Raw genomic sequence first — 21,581 nt, 5'->3', positions numbered from 1 at the left:
CAAGAAAACGATTTGATTTTGGGGTTTTTGTTTTTGTTTTGGAGATAGAGTCTCATGGAGTGCAGTGACACAATCACAGCGCACTGCAGCCTCAAACTCCTGGGCTCAAGCGATCCTCCCACCTCAGCCTTCTGAGTAGCTGGGACTATAGGCATGTGCCACCAGGCCCAGCTTTGGTGAGTGAAGGGAATAAACTCTGGAGGTTGGAACAACGACTTCTTAAGCCAATAGATGGTAGCATGATGTGTACGACTTGAATGATTCCGTGTGATTGAATGAAAGAAAATGCACAACGCAAGCTGTAAGCCTCAAAAAGACTTTTTAAACATCCACAAAGAGCCCAGGCTGGAAGTCAGGAGGCTGAAGTTCTAGTCTTGACTTTGCTCCTCCCTAATTGGCTGTAAGACCTAAGGCAGGTCTCTTAACGTGGCCGCAGTTTCCTTCTCTGTGCTATCATAGAGTGAGACCAAAACTAGCCCTTTTTGCTCTCAGAAGTAGAAAAGGATGGCAGCTCATGAGATATATATGTAGAATGCTTGGTACTGTGTAATTGTTAAAAATTATTACTTGTGGATGTTTCTGATGTGCAAAATATGCAAATGCCAGTAACATCCAGTGTGGACAGACCTGCCCTTCCTCCTTCCATGATACGTACCAAGGGCACTTGGACCTCTGACCAGGTGATGTTGGGCATGGCGGATGCAGGCTGCAGCAGCGTTGTGGGGAAGAAAAGGTTGTAGTGGCCCGTGGCTGCCAGGTACAAAGTCACAGTGATATTGAAGGGCAGTGTGAAGACTGGGAGGTCCCACTTGCTGAAGATGGTACCCAGGGCACTGGAGAGGATGGGGCTGATGGCAGAAGCATGAGAGATGCTGGTCAGGAAGCCGCCTGGTCATAACACTAGACTGTGCTGCAGTGGGGGCTCCCTGTGCCTTCCTAGAGAAAAGCAGCCTGCTGGGTATTCTCTGGAGCCTGACTGGCCCTGAGCAGGTCTTTCCCTGGGCCTCTTCCTCCCTGCACAGTGACAGGGTGGGGCACCCAGACTCAACTTCAGAAGAAGATATAAGGCAGGCAGTCTCAGAACTTCCTTCAGGAATCCTATAGCTCCATCCCCAGGCATCAGGTTGGGGAGGCCGAGGGGAGGGAATCACATTCATTCAACAAATGTTTTTTTGAGTGGCTGTGTGCATGGGCTTTGTGGCCAGGGTGCCCTGTGTTTTCTCAACATGGGGTAGAGCAGGCACTGAGGGCTTCCCCATGGCTGGGCCTTCAGCCTACCCTGGGAGGTGGTCTTGGTCTGCTCAGGGGTCCCAAGGATTTAGAAAAGCCGGGGTAGGGGAGGGTTGAAAAGATTTCCAGAAACTGACAGGACCCTATAGTGCAGCTCTTAACCAATGTGGGCCTCAGTTTCTTTCTCTGCACTCTGGCAGGGTGAGACCAAAAACCATTTAGATCTTAAAAGAATAATAAAGGGTGGTCGCTAATGGGATACTGTGTATAGACCTAGCATGGGGCTACCATGGTATAAACTTAGTTATTAGTCCAGTGGACATTTCTGATGTGCAAGCTAAATACATGCCACTTTAATATCACGTTTAGACAGACGGTCATGGGATTGGGATGAAAAGGTTGGTGGCCATTGATATGAACCCACAACCCTTCAAAAGCAAACTTACCAAGACATGGACATGATGATGACGGGTAGCAACAGCCACCAGTAGTAGTCACCTTTGTCTGAGAACACGGCCATCAGCAGCCCCACCAGCACCCCATTGTAGCCGTGAAATCCTGCAGCGATGGCCGACCTGGCAGGAGAGGGAGGGTCAGGTGGAGCAGGGGCTTCCCCAGGGCCCTTTACATTTTCCTATTGAGTCAGATTCTTTTTATCTGGGGCCTGACTACACACGCCTTCAAATAGACCACCCTTCTGGGAGTGGGGAAGGAAGACAACCCTATGAATCCTTCATATTTCTCTAGAAATATGTTGCTATGACAAAATAACCAGGGAACAGTCATTTTTAGTTGTCAGTGTCCTTATTTTGAGGATTTCTCAGCTGGGAAGAGGAAGAATGGTCCCCATGGGGAGTGACTTCTTGGCTACATGTTTGGACCCTGAGCCTCTGGGACTTACTTGTCCTGACTCAGGATGAGGGCTGTCAAGGTGGACATGATGGTACCCAGGCAGCCTGAGATCGCCCACCAGGGGTTCTGGATGAAGAGGCCGAGGATGATGAGGATGCCGCTGAGGGGGTTGTTCACAAACATCACTTGAGATGTGCCTCGGAGGACCCAGTCAAAGAACTGGAACACTGGGGACTTGTCTGAAATGGAACCGGGGCAGGAAGTAGGCAAGTGCTCAGTGTGGGCAGCCCTGGGTGGGCAGATGGAGGGTGTGAGGGAATCTGGATATCCGAAGTGGGTTTGCAGGAAGCCAGCCACCTGCTGTCACCTGCCACCAAAGATGGTAAACAAGGAACTCAAGAGAGCATCTGACTGCCAAGAAAACTCTTGAGACCCATCACCAGCCAGATGTGACCTCCAGGTTGTTTTTCTGGCAGGGGGGATTAGGTGCCCTGAGCTGCCTCTGACCCCTGTGGTGGTACCATGAATTTTCAAGAACATGTTCTTGCTGCATAGAGGGCATTAAACCCATGGGCTGAGCTCTGGAAAGATTGCTAAAGAGAACCTATTGGCATGGTAGACACAGTTCTCCCATGAACCATCCAGATGGCGTTTTTCTAGAATGCTGGCTCTAGAATCCCAATGCGAAAAACACCTGTCTGCAATATTCAGATGGGATATTTGAGATAGCAGAAGTGTTCTGTTCAGAAATGAGAGCTCATGAGCTCACACTCTTGCATGTATTGCTATTTATAGTTCAAGAGGCTGTATGTCTGTTTTAACAGCAAAACTCCCAGCTTCCAGGAAAGACCACAGTAACAGAGTGCAGTCTAGTCTAAGTCTAGTCTATAGGGAACCCCCATGGCAATGGGTTTCCTGGGGATGGGTGGAGGTGAGTTTTTAGGGTCAGGGTCAGTGTTGTTCTCATAGAATTTTACCTTTAAGTCCCTCTCCACACTCCTTCATCTCTCCTGTGATGTAGCTGAGGGCTTTGCTGACCCTTTTCCCACTGGCAGCCATGGAACTCCGAATCCAGGATGTCTTGGAAATGTTTGTTTCCACTTTTATCTCAGAGCTCTCCTCCATGGTGTCCAGATCCTGTCCAGGACAGAGATAGGCAAGAGTCTCCCACATTCGGTGGTTCTTACACTGAGAATTCATGTTTGTGGTCACTCAGGGACCAAATAAGATTGTCATTTGGTATTTCATTAAATTGCTGTTTAACCTCCCTGTTTCTGTAGATTAGACTGTCTTTTGTTTGACACATGACCTCATCTAATAGGTTAACTACCGTGAGGCACAGTAAGATAACATCTTTACTTTCGTTCTGTGGAGGAGGACTCTGGCAAGTGGAGGTTCTCATTTTCAAAGGTCAAGGTCAAACAGTAGAACTGAGATTAACCACAGATTTTTAGTCTTTTTTTTTTTTTAACATTAATACTCTTTCCAGAAGAAATGGCTTTCTCCCTGGCATGTCTAGTCTTTAAGATATAACTGTTCATAAACATAAGGGTATGAAATTGAACATGTGAAGATTCTGTTTTTGAAAACAGGCACCAGCTTATTTCCTAAATGCTTGAATACTGGGTTTAAAGGAAGCCTGATAATAATTCAAATACAAGGAATATGAAAAGTTACAAAGTAAACTGTGAAAGAGACATTTTTGTCCCAGGTAATTACATTTCAGAAAATACGAATGCAAGAAAAGTTTGCCTAAATCGGAGAACCTTGTTTACAGCTCTCAGCTCCCTCATCTGCTGTGGGCTCTGTGACTGTAGGGCGCTGTCCCTGATTCAGGACACTCAGTACTCACAAGCAGCTCGACTGTGGGCTTCCGGTATCGATAGGGAAATGGGTCTTTGTTTTGTCTTTCCTGGTGTTCGCCTTTTCCAAACACTGGAGTTAGAAGGAAAGAGCACCATCAGTTAGGACACCTCTACTCTGGCACCTCAGAAGCTAATGTCCTGCAAGGCTCAAGAGGTGTTAAGATTATGCAGTATTTCCTGTTCCTACTGAGGAAGCACAGAATCATGGGGCCTTGCAGCTCGAAGGCTCTTTTGTTCTTTTACTGGTCATGGATCCATCTGGGCCCTCGCTTTGGGGAAAAAGTGTACATCTTCATATAAACAGGGCATTTTACAAGGAATTTAGGGAGCTCAGAGATTCCACTAACTTTTAATTAAGAAGCCCTCATTTAGCTCAACCTTGATAATTTTTTAGATGAGGAAACAGCAGCCTGGAGAGACAGTGACTTGTGCTTGATCCCGGAATCCAGGGTTCTTTCTCCTGTTCCACATGGAGAACTTGAAGGTGAACAAAAAAAAAAAAAAAAAAAAAAAAAAAAGAAACTTGGTTGTTGTTGAAGCCCTTCACTTCCTGTTCATAAAGTATTAAGCTGCCTGAGCCATGAGCCATGCATAATCTGTGTTTGAATTTGGCCATGACTCTCCTCACCTGGATGACCTCAGGCTGTTCTGTTTGTTTTTGTTTTTGTTTTTTTAAGGTATTGTAGTAGCAATGGCTGGTGGGATTAGGACAAGAGACATCCATGTAATCTCTTGAAGCAGATTTTGGCAAGCCTTTGTAATTGTAGAAAACTCTTGCAATGTGGATCTAAACATTTTTATTATTACAGGTAATTTACTTTTAGAGACCACCAATTTCAGTAGGGTTTTATGCATCCTGAAAGATGTTCAGGCCCCTGGAAGTTTCCTTCTTGATGCTTTGGTTCCCTCCTGTGGTCAAGTGTGAGAATAGCAGGCTGGGCTCTGACTACCCTGTGTTTTCAGACTGAATTGCCTGTTCCCCCGTTCTGCACTCATGAGTCGTCAGGGTGTCAAAACACTAGAAGGGATGCATCGAAGGCACTGTGTTCCCACTTCTGAAGGGACAGGGACTGCAGATACCAGTGTGTTTGGGAGGTGACACCATTCAGGACAAACAAATTCATTTTGAAAGCTTTGAAAGGAAGAGTAGGAAGCAGAAGGGATCCCTTGAAATTGGAGGCCTGTGTGTGATATCCCCACTGACCCGCTGTTTCTGTCTGAAGCTCCTCTCTGCCTGCCAGTGCTGCAGGGCTCTCTACTATGCTCTCCCCAACCACAGCCCCTATCCTGAGACGATGTTAGGAGGAATTTATTAAGCCTTTGAGGCAAACCGTGGTCTCTTCCACACTCTGCTGGGGAACCTCTATCAAAGACAAACTCCTGAGCTACAGGGGCCCTTGAGATGTGCAATGTCCTCGGCAATCCCCTCTCCACCTCGTGTATTTTCCCATATTCACTCAAAGTCCATTTCTCTGGGCTAACTGACTTGTGGTATGAAATGATGAGACTTGGGGGAGCTGGAGGAAGAAGGTCATTCAGGCATCTTCTGGGGAGCATGTGATGTTGCACTAACTTGGGAGTCACTTTTATTCCCAACAGTGGCCCTAGTCAGCTGTGTGACTCTGGGCAATGCTGCCCCCTCTCTGGGGATTGGAGGCAGGATTAGATGGTCCCTGTGTCCTGGATCTTCATGAGGCTGCTCCAACCTTGCAGCTGGTTGAGGAAACCTCCCCAGACTCCTCCCTGTTTGCTGCCACATGTTCTCAGCTTCCACGTCCAAATTTCTGGCCTCCACTTGTTCAGCTTTAGCGGCCCTTGGATACCCTCTTCCTGGCCTTTGGCAGCACTTTCCCCACCATGGGTCTCTACCTGTGCCCTTGGCCTCCCCACCATTGCCATAGATGGGAACTGTTCATCTCTAGCCTCCTAGACCAGTGGTTTTTGATTTGCTGGCAAATTAGAATCTCCTGGAGAGCTTTAGAAGCTCCTGATGCCCACCCAGGCTGCTCTGCAGATGAATTAAACTAGTCACTGGGATGGGATGCAGGTGATTCCAATGTGCAGCCAGGTTGAGACCCCAGAATCTCACTGCCTGTCCCAGCTTCAGCCTCTCCGAGACCCAGGGGGCATCCAGACGCATTCGGGGAACTGTGGCCTTGGTCAGACGTCAGGTGTGAGAGGTCAAGTCTGACTCCAGCGGGTCTCCCCACCACCCTGTGAAGTAGGTATTGCCATTGTCCCTGTTTTATTAGAGACTAGGAAGGCAGGGATCCAAGCGTGAGGGGGAGGACATGCACACCTTTGCTCCTCCTCCGAATGGATGACCACTCGATGTGAAATACACTCCTGTGCTTGGAGAGCACAGCCTCCGAGCCCTCCTCCACCTTTGGGCCTGCTGTGGGTGGATGCTCCCCACCGCCTCCTAGCCAGGGGCAAAACAAGACAGGTCAGTGTCCCACCTAGTCCGCACCTGAGAGAGCCAAGCAGAGAGCTGGGAAAAATCACACAGATGCTGGAAAGGAGAGAGCAGTGAAGCCTGAAGCTGGAGTAGTCATTGCATCAGTCTCTGCATAAAACACTTAGCTTCTCTATTTCTCCCATTAAAACTTCTACTTCCTCTCCCCACAGTAACCCAAGTTATAGTCTGTCAAGAAATGGATGAGCAGTTTGCCTTATTTCTTAGTGTGCAAGGAAGCACTCTAAGACCCATTTAGCTGCAACTTGCACTGGCATGAGCAGGTGGCAGCCAGCGTCTTGGACTTCATCTGTGGCAGGGAGTTCCAAAACTGCCTGCATGTTAGAATCACCCAGGTGCTTTAAAAAAATGCCTGAGCTCCACCTCAGACCAGTTTAAAAAAATTAAAGTTTTGAATGCCCATGGTATTTAAAAGATGGCTCCAATATGCAGCTTGGGCTGAGAACTGACATCAGCTCTTGCTACTCAACGTGTGGTCCCTGTGGTCCCTGGACCAGTAGCATCAGCATCATCTGCCTGGGAGCTTGTTAGAAATGCAGAATCTCAGGCCTTAACCAAGACTGATGGAATCAGAATCTGTATTTTAACAAGAGCCACTGGGTGAATTCTGTGCTTATTAAAGCCTGACCAATACCAATTTATGGGGAGCTAGGAGTGCTGAGTCTGTAATCAGCTACAAGAAGCACTCTGCTGTACCTTATTATGTTCAGTTTTCACACTATTGGGAGAGCAGAGCACTCTTATCACTTGGGATAGGGTCTCTCAATGTGTGGATCAAGAACTGACAGCATTGAATTATCTTGGTGTCTTGTTAAAGTGCATGCTCCTAGCCCTATTGCCTCACCCACACCCAGGTCTCGTAATTGGAAAATCTGGTGATCCTGGGGGGTATGCAGTTTTACCTTGCTCTGCTTGGAGCTCCAGTACACACTAGAGTTAGATGGTCCAGCAGCTGCTTGGAACAGTAGAAAACATTCACACTATTACATCTGCATATTTTCTGGGTTGACTCATTTGGCCTTTTCAGCAGTGCCTTGAATAGAATGGGCACTATATATTATCACTAAAAGGTGGAAAATTGAGGCTCAGAGTGATTTCTTTAGCATCCTACAAATGGTGAGTCACATGACTCAGCTCCCAATCCTTTTCTCTGCATTTTTGCTACTCAGTCTGGTTTGTGGACCAGGGAGCTTGCTTGGAATTCAGAATCTCAGGCCCTACCCCAGAACTACTGAATTTGAATTGGCTTTTAACAAGATCTCCAGCTGATTCGTGTGCATACGAAAGCTGGAAAGCACTGGGGTAGATCACACTGCTTATGTAGAAACAACTATGGCAAAGCTCAGAACATAGCAGGGCCAACAACAAGAGGGTCTGTGGGGCATGCATGATTAAGGAAAGCAGGTCTTGTCTACACTTTTTTTTTTCTAAGACGGAGTCTTGCTCTGTCACCCAGGCTGGAGTGCAGTGGCACAATCTCAGCTCATTACAACCTCCACCTCCCGGATTCAAGCAATTCCCTGCCTCAGCCTCCTGAGTAGCTGGGATTACAGGTGCCCACCATCACACCCGGCTAATTTTTCTATTTTTGGTAGAGACAGGGTTTCACCATCTTGGCCAGGCTGGTCTTGAATTCCTGACCTCGTGATCCACCCATCTGGGATTCCCAAAGTGCTGGGAGTACAGGCGTGAGCTACAGCGCCCAGCCTTGTCTATATTTTTATGCTGAAAGTTTACACACCTGATCGTGTCCCTTCCCTCTGGCTCAGGATGGAGAAGCAGCTACTGTTTCAGCATCCTGTCCAGGGGTCAGTGTTGAGCTGTAACTCCCAAGACTGAGAAGTGCCCCTCAACTCTGCATTTCAGAGATACCTGGAGTGTCAACTTGTCCTGGGACGTCTGTGCAGGCAGGGTTCATGCAGGATGATGAGGGGTATCATTGCATCACCTGACCAAGTGGGGCGTTCTCCCATAGTGCCATTCCCCAGAGCATGTCTGCCAGACTGGGAAGGCACCTCTGCCAGTCCACTGCTTCTTGTTCCTCATATGCCAAGTGTCTGCTACCCTAGTCATCCCCTTGGTAATCCTAGTTTGACCTTAGAATCATAAACTCAGAACTGAATGGGAGTTTCAAGATCACAGTTCACCTTCCCCATTCAGAGAAATTAACTCACCCAAATCATACAGTTCATTAATCCTGGCAAAGCTAGGAATTGCATTTGGGTCTCTCAGTTCCCAATTCACTGCTCTTTCCACCCTGATGCTGCATTATATCGAAAGGCACAGACCTGTTTGGTGCAAGAAAGGAGTTTTCCTTTTAGTCTAGGGCCTGTACCTGGATATCGGAGGGCATGACAAACACCATTTACTAACCAATGTTATTCTTCATATATCCAAAGAGGCACTCCAGTTTAACAAAACAAGGCAACATCTACCTGGAAAGTTACCGGTTGTTAAGATACTCCAGATTTGTTCACTGAGGAGTCAGCCATAGTAACACAGGTGGAGAGTGCTGGGCTTGCTGATGGAAGGTCTTTGGATGGGTGGGTAGGTGATTGCCCTGGCAGAGCTGACATGGCTACAGAAGGCCAGTGGCTCAGCCTCCACTCCCTGATTCTTCACAGTTAGCAGCCCAGATTCTGTGCTATGTGTTCCTAGAGTTGATGGCCCAGCTGCAAAAATCAAAAACAGAAAGTACCTTTCTCACATGGCCAAGACTGGAGTGCTGGGCTATAGACCACCCAGGGAGGGCAGCAGCTCCTCACGATGTGGCAGCCAAGAGTTGAGAATGGAAGAGGGGAACAGATGCCACAAAGAAGATTAGAGATAAAATAGCAAACTTCTCAAGTCTGTGCAGACACTTACAGTGAAGGTGATAAAGCAATTTACCACTGGCCTCTGGGACAAATTCTTAGGACTTTCATCGTGGATAAAGACACTTTCAAGAAGATTATGAACATGTCTATCAAATGTTTAGAAATGAGGTGTGCCATTGGTGAGGTGGGGAGAAAAGAAAACAGTAACACTGGTGGGAACCAGAAGTCACTAATTTCTGCATGGTGTTTTGCAAGTCACATAATCCCACTGACAGTTTCCTCAATGGCAGGCATGAAATTCTCCCAGAAAGAAATATACAGACCCTGTAGGGTTGACCTTGCAAACCCAAACTGTAAATGATGACAGATATCTCAGAGGGGTACCTGCCATTTCTTTCTGATATTGTTATGGAGATGAGATAATGCTTACGAAATGCGCTGGAAAATAAATTTGCAGTGTTCAAATGTGTGAACATTTGGTATCTCCTGAGGGAGGACACATTCCTCTGATGGAACTAGGCCCCTCTGCTCCAGGCAAGATAGCTCCTTATCGTTAGGGCACACCTGGCATTTTACACCTACCTGCATTGACTCTTACCTTGCTAAGAGTTAATCATATGTTCTTGACTTGTCACCTTTGTAGGATGGTGAGATCTTTGACAGCCAGGATTATGCCATTTTACCTTGCTTGGCTCCCCACTAACTATCATGAATGTGGTATACTGTAGTTTGTTGAACACATTACTGAGGGATAATTATCCTATGCATTTTAATATTTTTTTGAGACACGATCTTGCTTCATTGTCCAGGCTGGAGTGCAATGGTACAATCATAGCTCACTGCAGCCTAAAACTCCTGAACTCAAGTGATCCTTCTGCCTTAGCATTCGGAATTGTTGGGACTACAAGCATGCCTCACCATGCATGGCTTTTCTTTCTTTTTTTTTTTTTTTTGTAGAGCCAGTGTCTCATTATGTTGACCAGGCTGGTCCCAAACTCCTGGGCTCAAGTGGTCCTCCTGCCTCGGCCTCCCAAAATGCCAGGATTACAAGCATGAGCCACCACGTCCAGCCTGTATTTTAATTTCTGACTAGTATAATGGACAAAGTCATTAGATATTTCAGGGTACAAACAGTTTTTGTAAAATAATGTATCTTAGTATAAATGTTAAATGTTTGATAGACACTGAAATATAGGTGAGAGTCCTTCATAGACTGATAAAAGTTATATCTGAATTGTGTGAGGCTTTGGAAATTGCAGGGCAAGGATTGATTATTTCTAGTGTTACTTGGATAAAAGAGTGGAAGTTTATAGACGGTGATATAAAGGTTGGTCATTTATGATCAACTAACAAGAAACACAGGAGCTCTGAAAGAGTAGCTGGAAGAACTCAATTAATGAAAGAGAAGAAAATAGGCCATGGAAGATGGAGAGCTGGCTCCCTGTGGTTTATTTTGGTTCCTAAGATATTACATAAGTCCATTCCGTCTGGTTGTGAAACCCTAAGCTCTTTTGAGGTGAGGCTGGGCATTCTATAGCTCAAGAGTAAATTTTGTTTACAATAAGCACTCAATAATTGCCTTAATCACTTTTTGCCACCCCCTCACCTCCAATATCATGGCACACATTAAAAATAGTATTTGTACAGCATGGTGCAGTAAACAGATGATGTTTATGGCCAGAGGGCCTGAGCCCAGGGACTCTGCTACAGCACCTGGCTGCTTGGAGGTCAGGGGTGGCTCTCTTGGGCAGTTACACGCATGTCCTGGAAAACCTGTGGGTGAGCCTCAGCAGCTGAGTAACTCCTCGGCATACCTGCTTGGTGTAGGAGCTGCTGCTCTCCCCTCCTCTAACAAGCCTTATTAAGTGTCCCGGTGCATGTAGCTTCACCCTGGGGGCCTTTCAGGACCATTTCAGGGGCACGGTCCCTGCCCTCGAGGATTGCCATCATCCTGTGTTTTAATAGGCAGGAGGCCAATGGTGCTTTCTTTTGATTGACTCAGAGAAGGAAAGAACAGTTATGAGCCATGATGATTTGTTCAGGAACACTTTCCTTGGGAGTAGTGATCCTGAAGGACTCATGCCTCTAACTCATGCCAACTGTTCAAATATCAGAGGTTAAAAAAAAAAGATTTCATAGAAGTGCCCACTGGTGAAATAAAGTTATAACACTTATTACAATTTCTTTGAGAGGAACAAAATAAACCTAAATCATATGTGACTTCTTTCAGAGGGGAAATAATAATCTACCCTCTTTCTGAATATCAACCTTTACCCAAACAGGTCCATGCCTCTACACTTTCTGTGAGTTGTCTTTCTCAGGTTTTTTTTTTTTGAGTTGGAGTTTCGCTGTATCACCCAAGCTGGAGTGCAGTGGCATGATCTCGGCTCACTGCAACCTCCGCCTTCCAGGTTCAAGCAATTCTCCTGTCTCAGCCTCCCGAGTAGCTGGGACTACAGGTGTGAGACACTACACCCGGCTAATTTTTGTATTTTTAGTAGAGACAAGGTTTCACTATATTGGTTAGGCTGGTCTCGAACTCCTGACCTCAGGTGATCTGCATACCTCTGCCTCCCAAAGTGCTAGGATTACAGGCGTGAGCTACCACACCTGGCCCTTTCTCAGGTTTTGAACAAGATTTACTCTCTCCTAGGGGGGGATTGATGTTGTCCATCTTTCAGTTGCAATGTCCAACATAAGGAGCATGAGAGGCTACCATCAAGACCTATTTGCCATCCCTCCCCAGCTTCCTGGGCCTCTTACTCCTCTGATCTGTTGTTTGTGGACACACCCACACACCACAAGGCAATTTCCTTGCTGCAATACCAGAACCACTGTCTTTGAAGTGACACATCACGTATAATTTGATCTTTTTTTTTTCTACAACCAGTTCTATGCTTTGACTGACTATGCTTTGGCCACAGTTTGGACAATGTTTCTCCACATGGAAGTTGAGCTTTGTACTAAGACTTGTAATTTCCTAGGCTATTCTCTGTGTGTGCGATATGGATACTTGTGGGTGGTAAGTGGGATGGTACCTTTTTCTGTGAAGTTATATTTAGTTGAAATTTTCAAAGATCATTCTCTAAACTCTCTAAGGCATTGGATGTTAGAATTGAAAAAGGCTTTGAGATGATCTTGTCCAGCTCTCCCATTTTACAGATTTGGAAACTGAGGCCACAAGAAATGGAATGACTTGCCCTAGGCCACACAGCTATTGGCAGAGCTGAGTGTAGATAAGACATAGGTGTCTCTTCTCTCTTATCTTGTAGTCTAAGATTTATTTCCCTAAACCTTACTCCCCATTGGAAGTTCAGTTTCTTTCTTTTTTCTTTTCTTTCTTTTCTTTCCTTTCTTTCTCTCTCTCTTTTCTTTCCTTCCTTCCTTCCTTCCTTTTCTTTCTTTCCTTTCTTTTTTTTTTTTTTTCCTTGACACAGTCTCGCTCTGTCACCCAGACTGGAGTGCAGTGGCGTGATCTCGGCTCACTGCAACCTCCGCCTCCAGAGTTCAAGCAATTCTCCTGTCTCAGCCTCCTGAGTAGCTGGGACTACAGGCGCATGCCACCACTCCTAGCTAATTTTTTTTTTTTGTATTTTTGTATTTTTAGTAGAGATGGGGTTTCACGGTGTTAGCTAGGATAGTCTCAATCTCCTGACCTCAGGTGATCCACCCGCTTCTGCCTCCCAAAGTGTTGGGATTACAGGCGTGAGCCACTGTGCCCGGCCTAGTCAAAATCTTTCAATTCAACTCTGCTTTGGAATATAATGGCCTAAGGTAGGTATTCTCGAATCTATTTCTCTTTAAACCATGGCTCCCTTTCCTCAAGAAAAACCCCAGTCTTCCTGAGACTTCCTATCTGGACTGGGAGGTGGATGAGAGATGCATGGAATGAAGAGGAAGACCAGGTCCATGGGAACACTTGGAGATAAAATTACTTGGAAGGCTCAACTTCTTAATCCATTAGCCAATTTTTTATTTTTAAGAAGGTGGGGGTATGAGTCACTGTTACCTTGAAAGAAGCGAGACTCATCCTCACAGCAAATGCTTTAAACTTTCTCTTCTCCTTCCCACGCAGCTCACTTGTTGGCCAAAGGACTAGCCTAAATCTCATTTCTTTCGGTGTCTTTGGCTTATTCCATGGGGAAGACGTTAATTAGCATAAATAAGTTGATGCCTTATTGAACCTCATGATGCCTGATGATAAAGCCTCATAAATGAGGTTAAAGAGAGTACAAAGGTCAGAGCACCCCATCTCTAACTGCGGGACACCAGACTGATTTTTCTCCAGAATGACTTTGCACTCTCTTCTCACTGTTCCTACCCTGGCCCACACCCTCAGAATTGCATGTCTGTATCATCAGTCTTCCTAATTTTGATCTTTCCTCTTTCAATCCATTCTTAGCTTCAGCGGCTAGACCATGTTATTATGTCACTCTCTTACTCAATAACCTACATGCTCCCTATTGCCAAGAATATTGTGCTCAAATTCCTCTGCCTGGCTTTCCTGATGTGTTTACAACAACTTCATCAAGCTTCACCCTTTTCTTTCCCAACGCACACCCTGCCAAGGTGTTCTGGCCTTATCACTGGCCCTCTGTTCTCCCTCCATCCCTCTTCTTGCCTAAGTTCTATCCATCTTTCAAGGTCTGGTTTGTGTTCTACTTCCTCCATGAAGACATCCTTGGCTTATTTGGCCATATGGATGATTCCAGCCCTTGAATTCCCATTGTATTTGCAGAGGTTACTCTAGACTACACCTTTTGAAGTTGAGGCCGCAGTGGAGTTTCCTATTGTTAGTTACAATGCACATAAAAAGTATTCAATACATACATTCCAATCTAATGAAACTATTTGGAATTAGCAATTCCGTGTAACCAAGTGATCCTTTGAGTTTGAGCATTGGCAGAAGGAAACTGAGGCCCAGAGATAAGTGGCTTACCTGAGGCCACACAGCTGATCAGTTAGGAAGCAAGTTTTTGACCTCCTGGTTTTGGATTATTTACTCCTGCAATGGTAGGTGTTTTACAGACAGTTGGAGCCTTCTCAAATGATATCAATGGATTTGCAACTTTTTAAATTAAAAAAATTAAGAATTATTTTGTATCTCAAAAGGAGTTACAAAAATTACCAAAAAATAATGAACACCTGTGTGTCATCCCAATCGCAATACCCCCTGAAAGGCCATAGAAAGTTCTGAGCAATTGTATACTGGCTTCTCTTTCATACTCTCTTTCTCCACATGCTCTTCTATGCCTTCTTCTGCGCTACCTATGGCAGACATAGCTATGCAGAAGCTATGGCAACCTATGGCAGACGTAGCTAATTGATCCCAGCACTCTTTCCCTGTAAGTCTAGATACAGCCTCAGAATCCTTGTCAACACAATGATCCTGAAAGCCAATACCAATCAGGCACTTTAGAGTAAATGTAGCCACACAGAAGGGTGTGGACATTGTATACATTTGAGAGAAGGGGTCCAACGAGGCCAGGGTGGTGATAGTAGGTAGAGGCCGGACACTACCTATCACATCTGGGCACATTCATGCCTCACAGGATGGCTTTCCCTCACCAAGTTCACCAAGGCTTATATCGTTTGGTGCTGGTTTTGGAGGATATCACATACTTTACAAGGCTGTCCATTCTCTGATCAGAGAACTTCAATATCCTGGGATGTTGTTCCTTATGGCATGGCTATTTGTCTTCCAGACACATCCACTGTCAGTGGCTGCACAGACTAGGTCTACAGTAATCTGAGTATGTAAAAGGGGGACCCTGAGGAGACAGGTTGTTAGGAGCTGGGATGTTAAGACATTTGTGGACACTGGAGAACCCAGTTCTATTGGTGTTTCTGAGGAAGGGGTACAGGAACTGAGGAGAGAGGCCAAGGAGCCTGGAGCAGAAGCATCTTCCGTGGAAGCTGCAGGTAATGAATCGTGGGCAGAAGGTATTCAGCTCTATCTCATTAGCCAGAGGTGACATCCCAGAGGCCCAACTCAGCACAGTGCTGCCCTGGAAACCAAACTGATGTCACAGCTGTGGGTCATAGAGTCATGGAAAGGATGACAAATAACGAGAAGGCTCATCCAGTGGGTGTGTGTGGTGGTGAGGGATTTGAGGGCTGATGGATGAGCCTGTTTCATCAGCAGGTGAGCAGGAAGTACTCAGGGTTATGAGTTAGGACACTTGGACTTTTGTCCAGCCTCATTTACCACCTGGACAAGTCTCTGTACAAGCCGTGGTTTCCTCATCTATTAAAGCCTACCCAGCTCGAAGCTTCCAAAATCTATGTTGTCTCTGGAATTCTTAGTAAGGTTCCCACCCCAGGACTGTCTTCCCCAGATGCAGTTCAACAGAAGGAAGAAACAGAGCAAGACTAGCCTTTCTTTCTTCTCTTCCTTTGAAGAATTAAGTGGTTTTGTTGGCTAGGACGTGTACCTGGTTCAGCTCTCTCCCCCAGGACTTCTTACCTGGGCTCCTTTTGATTTCCTGCACGCAGTAGGAGGAATCTAGATCATCGGGACTAGAAAGAAGCAGCTTCCTTCTGATTGGGCGGCGTCTCTGGTCCTCAACTTCAGGTGCTGTGACTTCTCCTAAACACCAACCCCTTCACCTCCCTGAGCCCTCCAGCTCATCCTCTGTCTGACTTGCTATAAATTCACTAGCTTGCGTTCCCTGAACCTGTTGCCTGGCGCACGTCTGCCAGTTGAGGAAGGGTACCATGGAGGATCAGGGAGAAGAAAGACAAATGCCCCTTCTGCAGCTCACCCACGTCCCCCCCAGCATTCCTGCCAAAAGACTATTTCCTAAACTCCCTGGGGAGGACTAGCTTCAGCTACCATGGTTCCCCCGACCTGGTTGGATCAGGTAGGTTTCCTTTAAAGAGGCAGAGCTGGGGACTGTCTGGTAGCTTCCCTGTTGTCCCACAGGTTACCTCCCAGTTGCACCTCTCATTAGAATTCTCGCTCCAGCATTTGCCTTTAAAGCTATTATTTAAGTGTTATCCCCTCAGGGGGCCAATTTGCCTTCCCACCTCAATAAACTCCCTTAATTCCCCATAGGGGCAGGGCACAGGCTGGGGAACAGTATTGCCATCAGCATCTGAATGGAAATTTCTGCACAGCCCAATACTAGATGCTGCCTTTCTAGTTCTATGGAAATTTTCAGACCTTTCTTCCTTCTGATTCCTGCTGACTGGGGTCCTGGGGACCTGGAGGCTCACTGCAGGACCCTCTCAGAGCAAGAAGGGTGTGACGAACCCCCACCAGCAGGAAGAATTCTGAGATCTATATATTAGGGAGCTGGCCATTGCAAGTCCCATGAGGCCATAGGGTCTGGGGGCCTGGAGTTTGGGGAGGGGGCCCAATCCAAACATGTTTTGTTTGGCTTTGTGAGTATGATGGGTCATGCATCAACCCCCAAGCTTTTGCCCTGCCACTTTCACATACACACACTCAGTGGTGGGGTGTGAGGCAGCCTACCCAGGTTCAGAAGCAAAACCTCACTCTGAGGAAATTAGCTACACCTGAGTAGACAAACTCCCCCACTGACGTCAAAGGCCCCCTTCCCACTGTGCCAGGTGTTTTGGAACTGTTGAAGAGGGGTCCTAATCACGAGGGCCTTGTGAGGAAGGAAAGCAAACAAAGGGGGTGGGAGGAGCCCAGCAGGCCCCCACATTCCAAGGAGTGGTGGGGAATGGTGTGGAGGGGAGGTCGGTCGCCTGCATGGAGGCCTGTCCTTGTGTTGCTAGTTCAGGATCCATGGCTATCTGCTGGTTAACACGGAGCCTTCACGTTTTTCTTGTCCCTGCTGGCTGGTCTGTTGGCTCAGTCCTTGCTGCTGTCCCTTGTTCTCTTGCCCTGGCTTCTCCCAAGGGCTCCTGAACTTCTTGAGATGCGCTCACTCCAGCTACCTAAGCATCCACCTATTCCAGACATAACAGGGAGCCACCTGTGAGCAATATGTCATTAATTTGAAAAGACAGGAAATGACTGCTTAAGAAGGCTTTCAGGAAGTTCATACACATTCCATTAGCCAAATGGAACTGTGGTTCTTCAAGATGTAGTGAGTATCTGTCACAAACACTAGACTCAGGGTGGGGCAATAAAGTGCTGCCTTGGAAAGCAGAAGGCCAAGATATAATCTTGTCCCCTTGACTAGAGCTAGATAAAGGCTAGAGCTCAGATACCAAGGGCTCTTCAAGAGATCAATTTGTGCCTACACTCTTTATTTGAAGGCTCAATTGAAATTCGCTTCAGAACAAGGTTTTCTTCACAATGCTCGTGGCTTCCTTCAATTCTACGTTTTCAACTTTACAGAGGGAGGAGGCCTGCATTGACCACCAGGAGCTAAACTTGGGAAGGTCAGATCCTCCAAGGGAAAGGGCCCAAGTCCATGTGGAATAAATGCAAGCTGGAGCTGGAAGTTCTCCAAAGGGCTGCTTACTTTGCTTCATTCTGCTCTAGCAGCCTGTGCAGCGGTAGAAGGGGGTTGGGAGGTCCTTGTTATCAATTTGCAGAGGGTTAAAAAGGACTTGTCATTTTCCCCCTTGCCCCCTTCTTGGGGTCTTGGAATTTCTAGTTCCACTTGGGGTAGAAGGGCTCCCTGTGTATTCTTTCATCTTCTCTGAATGGCTAGAGACAGGAAAAACCAGGCAAGTAAAAAAAGTCTCACATAAAATGTGAATGCCTTTAAAGTTACCAGATGAGACCATGGTTTATTGAGTAGAAATCATGCCCATACTGAAACTGCCAGCCCCCACCTGGTTTTAGATTAGAGCTGTCCTCAGGCCATCAAAACCTTTATGACCCAAGAAAACAAAGTTTAGGCTCATACAGGAAAGCATAAACAAATGTTCCACGATGTTTGCACACTGGTCTGATATAACCACAAACTCAGGCTGCGAAGACAGTTTCCTGACAGGCAGATCTTAGAGGGTTGACCAGAAAGAGAGTCCCTTCAGAGAGGAGAGTGATGGGAAGGAGAAAGTCAATGCCAAGGAGAGTTGAATAATGTTGGTCCCCAGCTTTTGTCCATGTAAGCAACCATGTTGAGCATTTTGGTAAAGTGGCCAAATGGCTAACTGGTTAAGCTCTAGAAAAGTAGCAAAGGCACTTGTGGCATATTTTTGGTACACATGGTCTTCATGTTCTTACCTTTTTACCACCTCGGCGATAACTCCTCTTTATTCCTCCATGGGAACTCAGGGCCATAGAATCACAGAACGTTGGGAATTGGAAAAGAGAGGCCGCAGTGGTAATCCGGTCTGGTTACCCACCCCAAACAAGCATCTCCAACCGGCCTCCACACCCTGCTCCTGCACTATCAGGGCAGAAATCTTAGGACCTTATAGGACATTATCTCTCAAGCAACTTCCATTGTTAAAAAGTGCCTTTCTCCACTGATTCAAAGTCCATTTGCTTATCACTCGTACCTAGTGCACTCCCTCTGTGCTCTGGAGAAACACTGAACAAGTTGACTTCTCCCACATGCATTACCTAATACTGCAGACACACACGGCTGCAGCTCTTTCATCTCTTCTCCAAGCCAAACACAACCAGCTTCATCATCCCCTGTGAGATGATGGTGCTCCAGACCCTCATCCATCCAGCTTGGCCTCATCTTGGCATGCCCTCCTTTGCCAAAGACCCTCTCGAAATGTGCCACCCATTTTTCTTTGTACTCTTTCTTCCCCTTTCATCAGAACTGTTCTCAGAAATGGCTCCTTTGGCCTAAGATACAAATGATTGATCATGTTTACTGTGGTACCTTCTCAGGACTGTTTACAGTTGAACAGATTCAAAGCCTTAAGTTGAAGGAATGGCTGGGAATGCTTGGGCTGCAGGTAATGGAAAGATAGGGGATACAAGGGGACAAGGCACTGAAATCTTCCTGGAACCCTTAAAATCATGCCTAAAACACTTTTTAAACAGAAGATCAGCCTGACAAGGTCAGGAGCTCAAGACCAGCCCGGCCAACATGGTGAAACCCCATCTTTGCTAAAAATAAAAAAAAAGCTGGGCATGGTGGTGGGTGCCTGTAATGCCAGCTACTCAAGAGGCTGAGGCAGGAGAATCGCTTGAACCTGGGAGGTGGAGGTTTCAGTGAGCCGAGATCGTGCCATTGCACTCCAGCCTGGGCAACAAGAACAAAACTCCGTCTCAAAAACAAAACAAAACAAGACAAAAAAACCCAAAACACCTGTGGTGCTGTGAATTTCAGTGGGCTCAGGCAGTCCGCATCCTCATCTTCACCTCAGGTGAGACTATTCACCTGGCCAGGTAAATTCCCATAAAATGAATTCCTTGAAGGCAGGAGCTGGTCTGATTCTTTCCTGGTTTGTTGTCAATCCTGGGGCCTGAGTAACACATTAATAGTTTCTCATGCGATGTCTTCTGGATGAATGAGTGAATGAGGTTAGACCATGAGGCAGACAGAGTTTCTCAGCTTATGAAAGTTGGCAAATGGCCCTGGGCAGGCTACACAGGGGCCCATCTGTGATGGATTAAGGGGAATGGGCAGAAGCTTGGGGCCAGGAGTTGTGAGAAGCTGCATCTGATTTCTGGAGCAAGAGGAGATAGAAAATTAAAAAAAAAATCATAAACACACATGGATCTTCTATTTTAGCTCTCAAAGATTTTCTGAAACTAAAAACATGATTTTTAAACTAAAAAAATTCAACTTATCCATTGAATTGAAGAAAAGAAAGGTTATTGTTGGGACCTAAATCACTGGCCTGGTCAAATGGAAGGTCAAATGGAAGGAATATCTCAAAGCAGAGCCAAAATACAAATGATAAAAATTGTGAAGAATAACATAAGCAACTCGAAATAGAGATCAAAGAGGCCCATCACATGGATATAGGAGTTCCAGAAACAGAAAAAGGAAGAGATGGAGGGAAACCAATAATCAAATCTTAGAAGAAAAGTTGCTAAGCTGAAGAAAGACTTGAGTTTGCAGATTAAGAGGCAGGATTGATGAGAAAAGACACGCCCCTGGGCTTAGCTTCATAAAATTCCCGAACTCCGAAGACAGAAAGGACAACTAACTGTCATCTAGAAAGAAAGAACAGGTTATTCACAAAGGAAAAAGAATGAGATTGACACCAGATTTCTCATGTGTAACACTCAAAAGCCAGAAAATGAAGGAACAATATCTAGAGACCACTGAGGGGAGAGACTGCAGGGCAGGAGCCCCTCGCCTCCAAAATGTCGCCGTCTGCCAGGGCAAGAAACTCTGTGGACATGCAAAGGGTCAAAGAATATGTCACCATATTCTCTCATATATTACTTGAAGAAAATACAAAGAGTTGTAAACAAGTAATAAATGAATTGGAACAGAGATAGCAAGACAGGGGAAGAAGAAGAGAGGAAAGTGTAATAAAATGTAACATGTTCAATACAAATGGTAAACTCCAAATGGATGATAGAATGGCTGGGAATGTATGATGTAGGGGCTCAGTAAGAATTCTTGTGAAAAGAAGAGGCATATTGCAAGGGGAAAGAATTAAAAATGATAAATGGTCTTAGCACAATTTAGGAGTGGGAGATAGCTGGAGAAGTAAAAGCATTTTAGGTACTGGGGCGCTGGGGAGGAGAATAGTGAAATTATTTCAAAGGCCTTAGTTCCTCAGGGTAGGGAAAGATCATTGGAGAAATGGGGTATCTTGTCAGGGAAAAGTATTTTTCATCTTGTTTTTATATAATAAGAGACAAATATGCCTTTTTGTTTTTGTTTTTTGTTTTTGAGACAGAGTCTCACTCGCTCTCATAGGCTGGAGTGCAGTGCACGATCTCGGCTCGCTCACTGCAAGCTCCACCTCCTGGGTTCACACCATTCTCCTGCCTCAGCCTCCCGAGTAGCTGGGACTACAGGCACCCGCCACCATGCCCAGCAATTTTTTTGTATTTTTAGTAGAGACAGGGTTTCACCATGTTAGCCAGGATGGTCTCTATCTCCTGACCTCGTGAGAGACGAATATGCTTTTGATTATGAGTGTTGGGAAAGGAGCAGTAACTGCTAGCAGAATGTAAAACAACAGTGGACCTTCCAAATTAACAAAGGGAAGAAAGAAAGAGGGAGTATCATGATCAAACTTCTAAAACGAGAACAATGAAAAAACAAAAAAGCAAAGAAAAATGAATAGTAAAAAAGTGAAAGAAAAAAACTAGTATATTAGTTATTACATAAGATGTGAAAAGGTTAACTTATTAAATTACAGAAACACTGAGATTAGGTAAAAATATGAAACATTGCTATATGTTATTTTTAAAAAATATAGTTAAAAGTAATAAAGTTAAAAATTAAAAGAAATGATGAAGGTTAAAACAAAGGGATAAGAAAATAT

General features: G+C 45.7%; 1 protein-coding gene and 1 long non-coding RNA gene across 7 annotated transcripts in view; one reads left to right on the top strand and one right to left on the bottom strand.

Annotated features, from left to right (window-relative positions):
* The window catches only part of SLC14A2 (solute carrier family 14 member 2), a 515,726-nt gene that overhangs the window by 13,535 nt on the left and 480,610 nt on the right, over positions 1–21,581 (bottom strand). For all 6 annotated transcript variants that reach the window (NM_001371319.1, XM_024451270.2, XM_017026016.3 and 3 more), the window contains 6 exons: positions 6,247–6,369; positions 3,935–4,017; positions 3,060–3,219; positions 2,132–2,321; positions 1,677–1,805; positions 656–848 (listed from right to left, as the gene is read on the bottom strand). In NM_001371319.1, coding sequence (NP_001358248.1) covers positions 656–848; positions 1,677–1,805; positions 2,132–2,321; positions 3,060–3,219; positions 3,935–4,017; positions 6,247–6,369 — 878 coding nt within the window. The remainder of the gene's footprint in view (positions 1–655; positions 849–1,676; positions 1,806–2,131; positions 2,322–3,059; positions 3,220–3,934; positions 4,018–6,246; positions 6,370–21,581) is intronic.
* Positions 1–21,581, top strand: part of LOC105372093 (uncharacterized) — a 176,501-nt gene that overhangs the window by 112,683 nt on the left and 42,237 nt on the right. The window lies entirely within an intron of this gene.

The sequence above is a fragment of the Homo sapiens genome, chromosome 18, assembly GCF_000001405.40.
Source record: "Homo sapiens chromosome 18, GRCh38.p14 Primary Assembly".
Taxonomy (NCBI): domain Eukaryota; kingdom Metazoa; phylum Chordata; class Mammalia; order Primates; family Hominidae; genus Homo; species Homo sapiens.
This window is presented reverse-complemented; position numbering and strand designations above follow the sequence as displayed.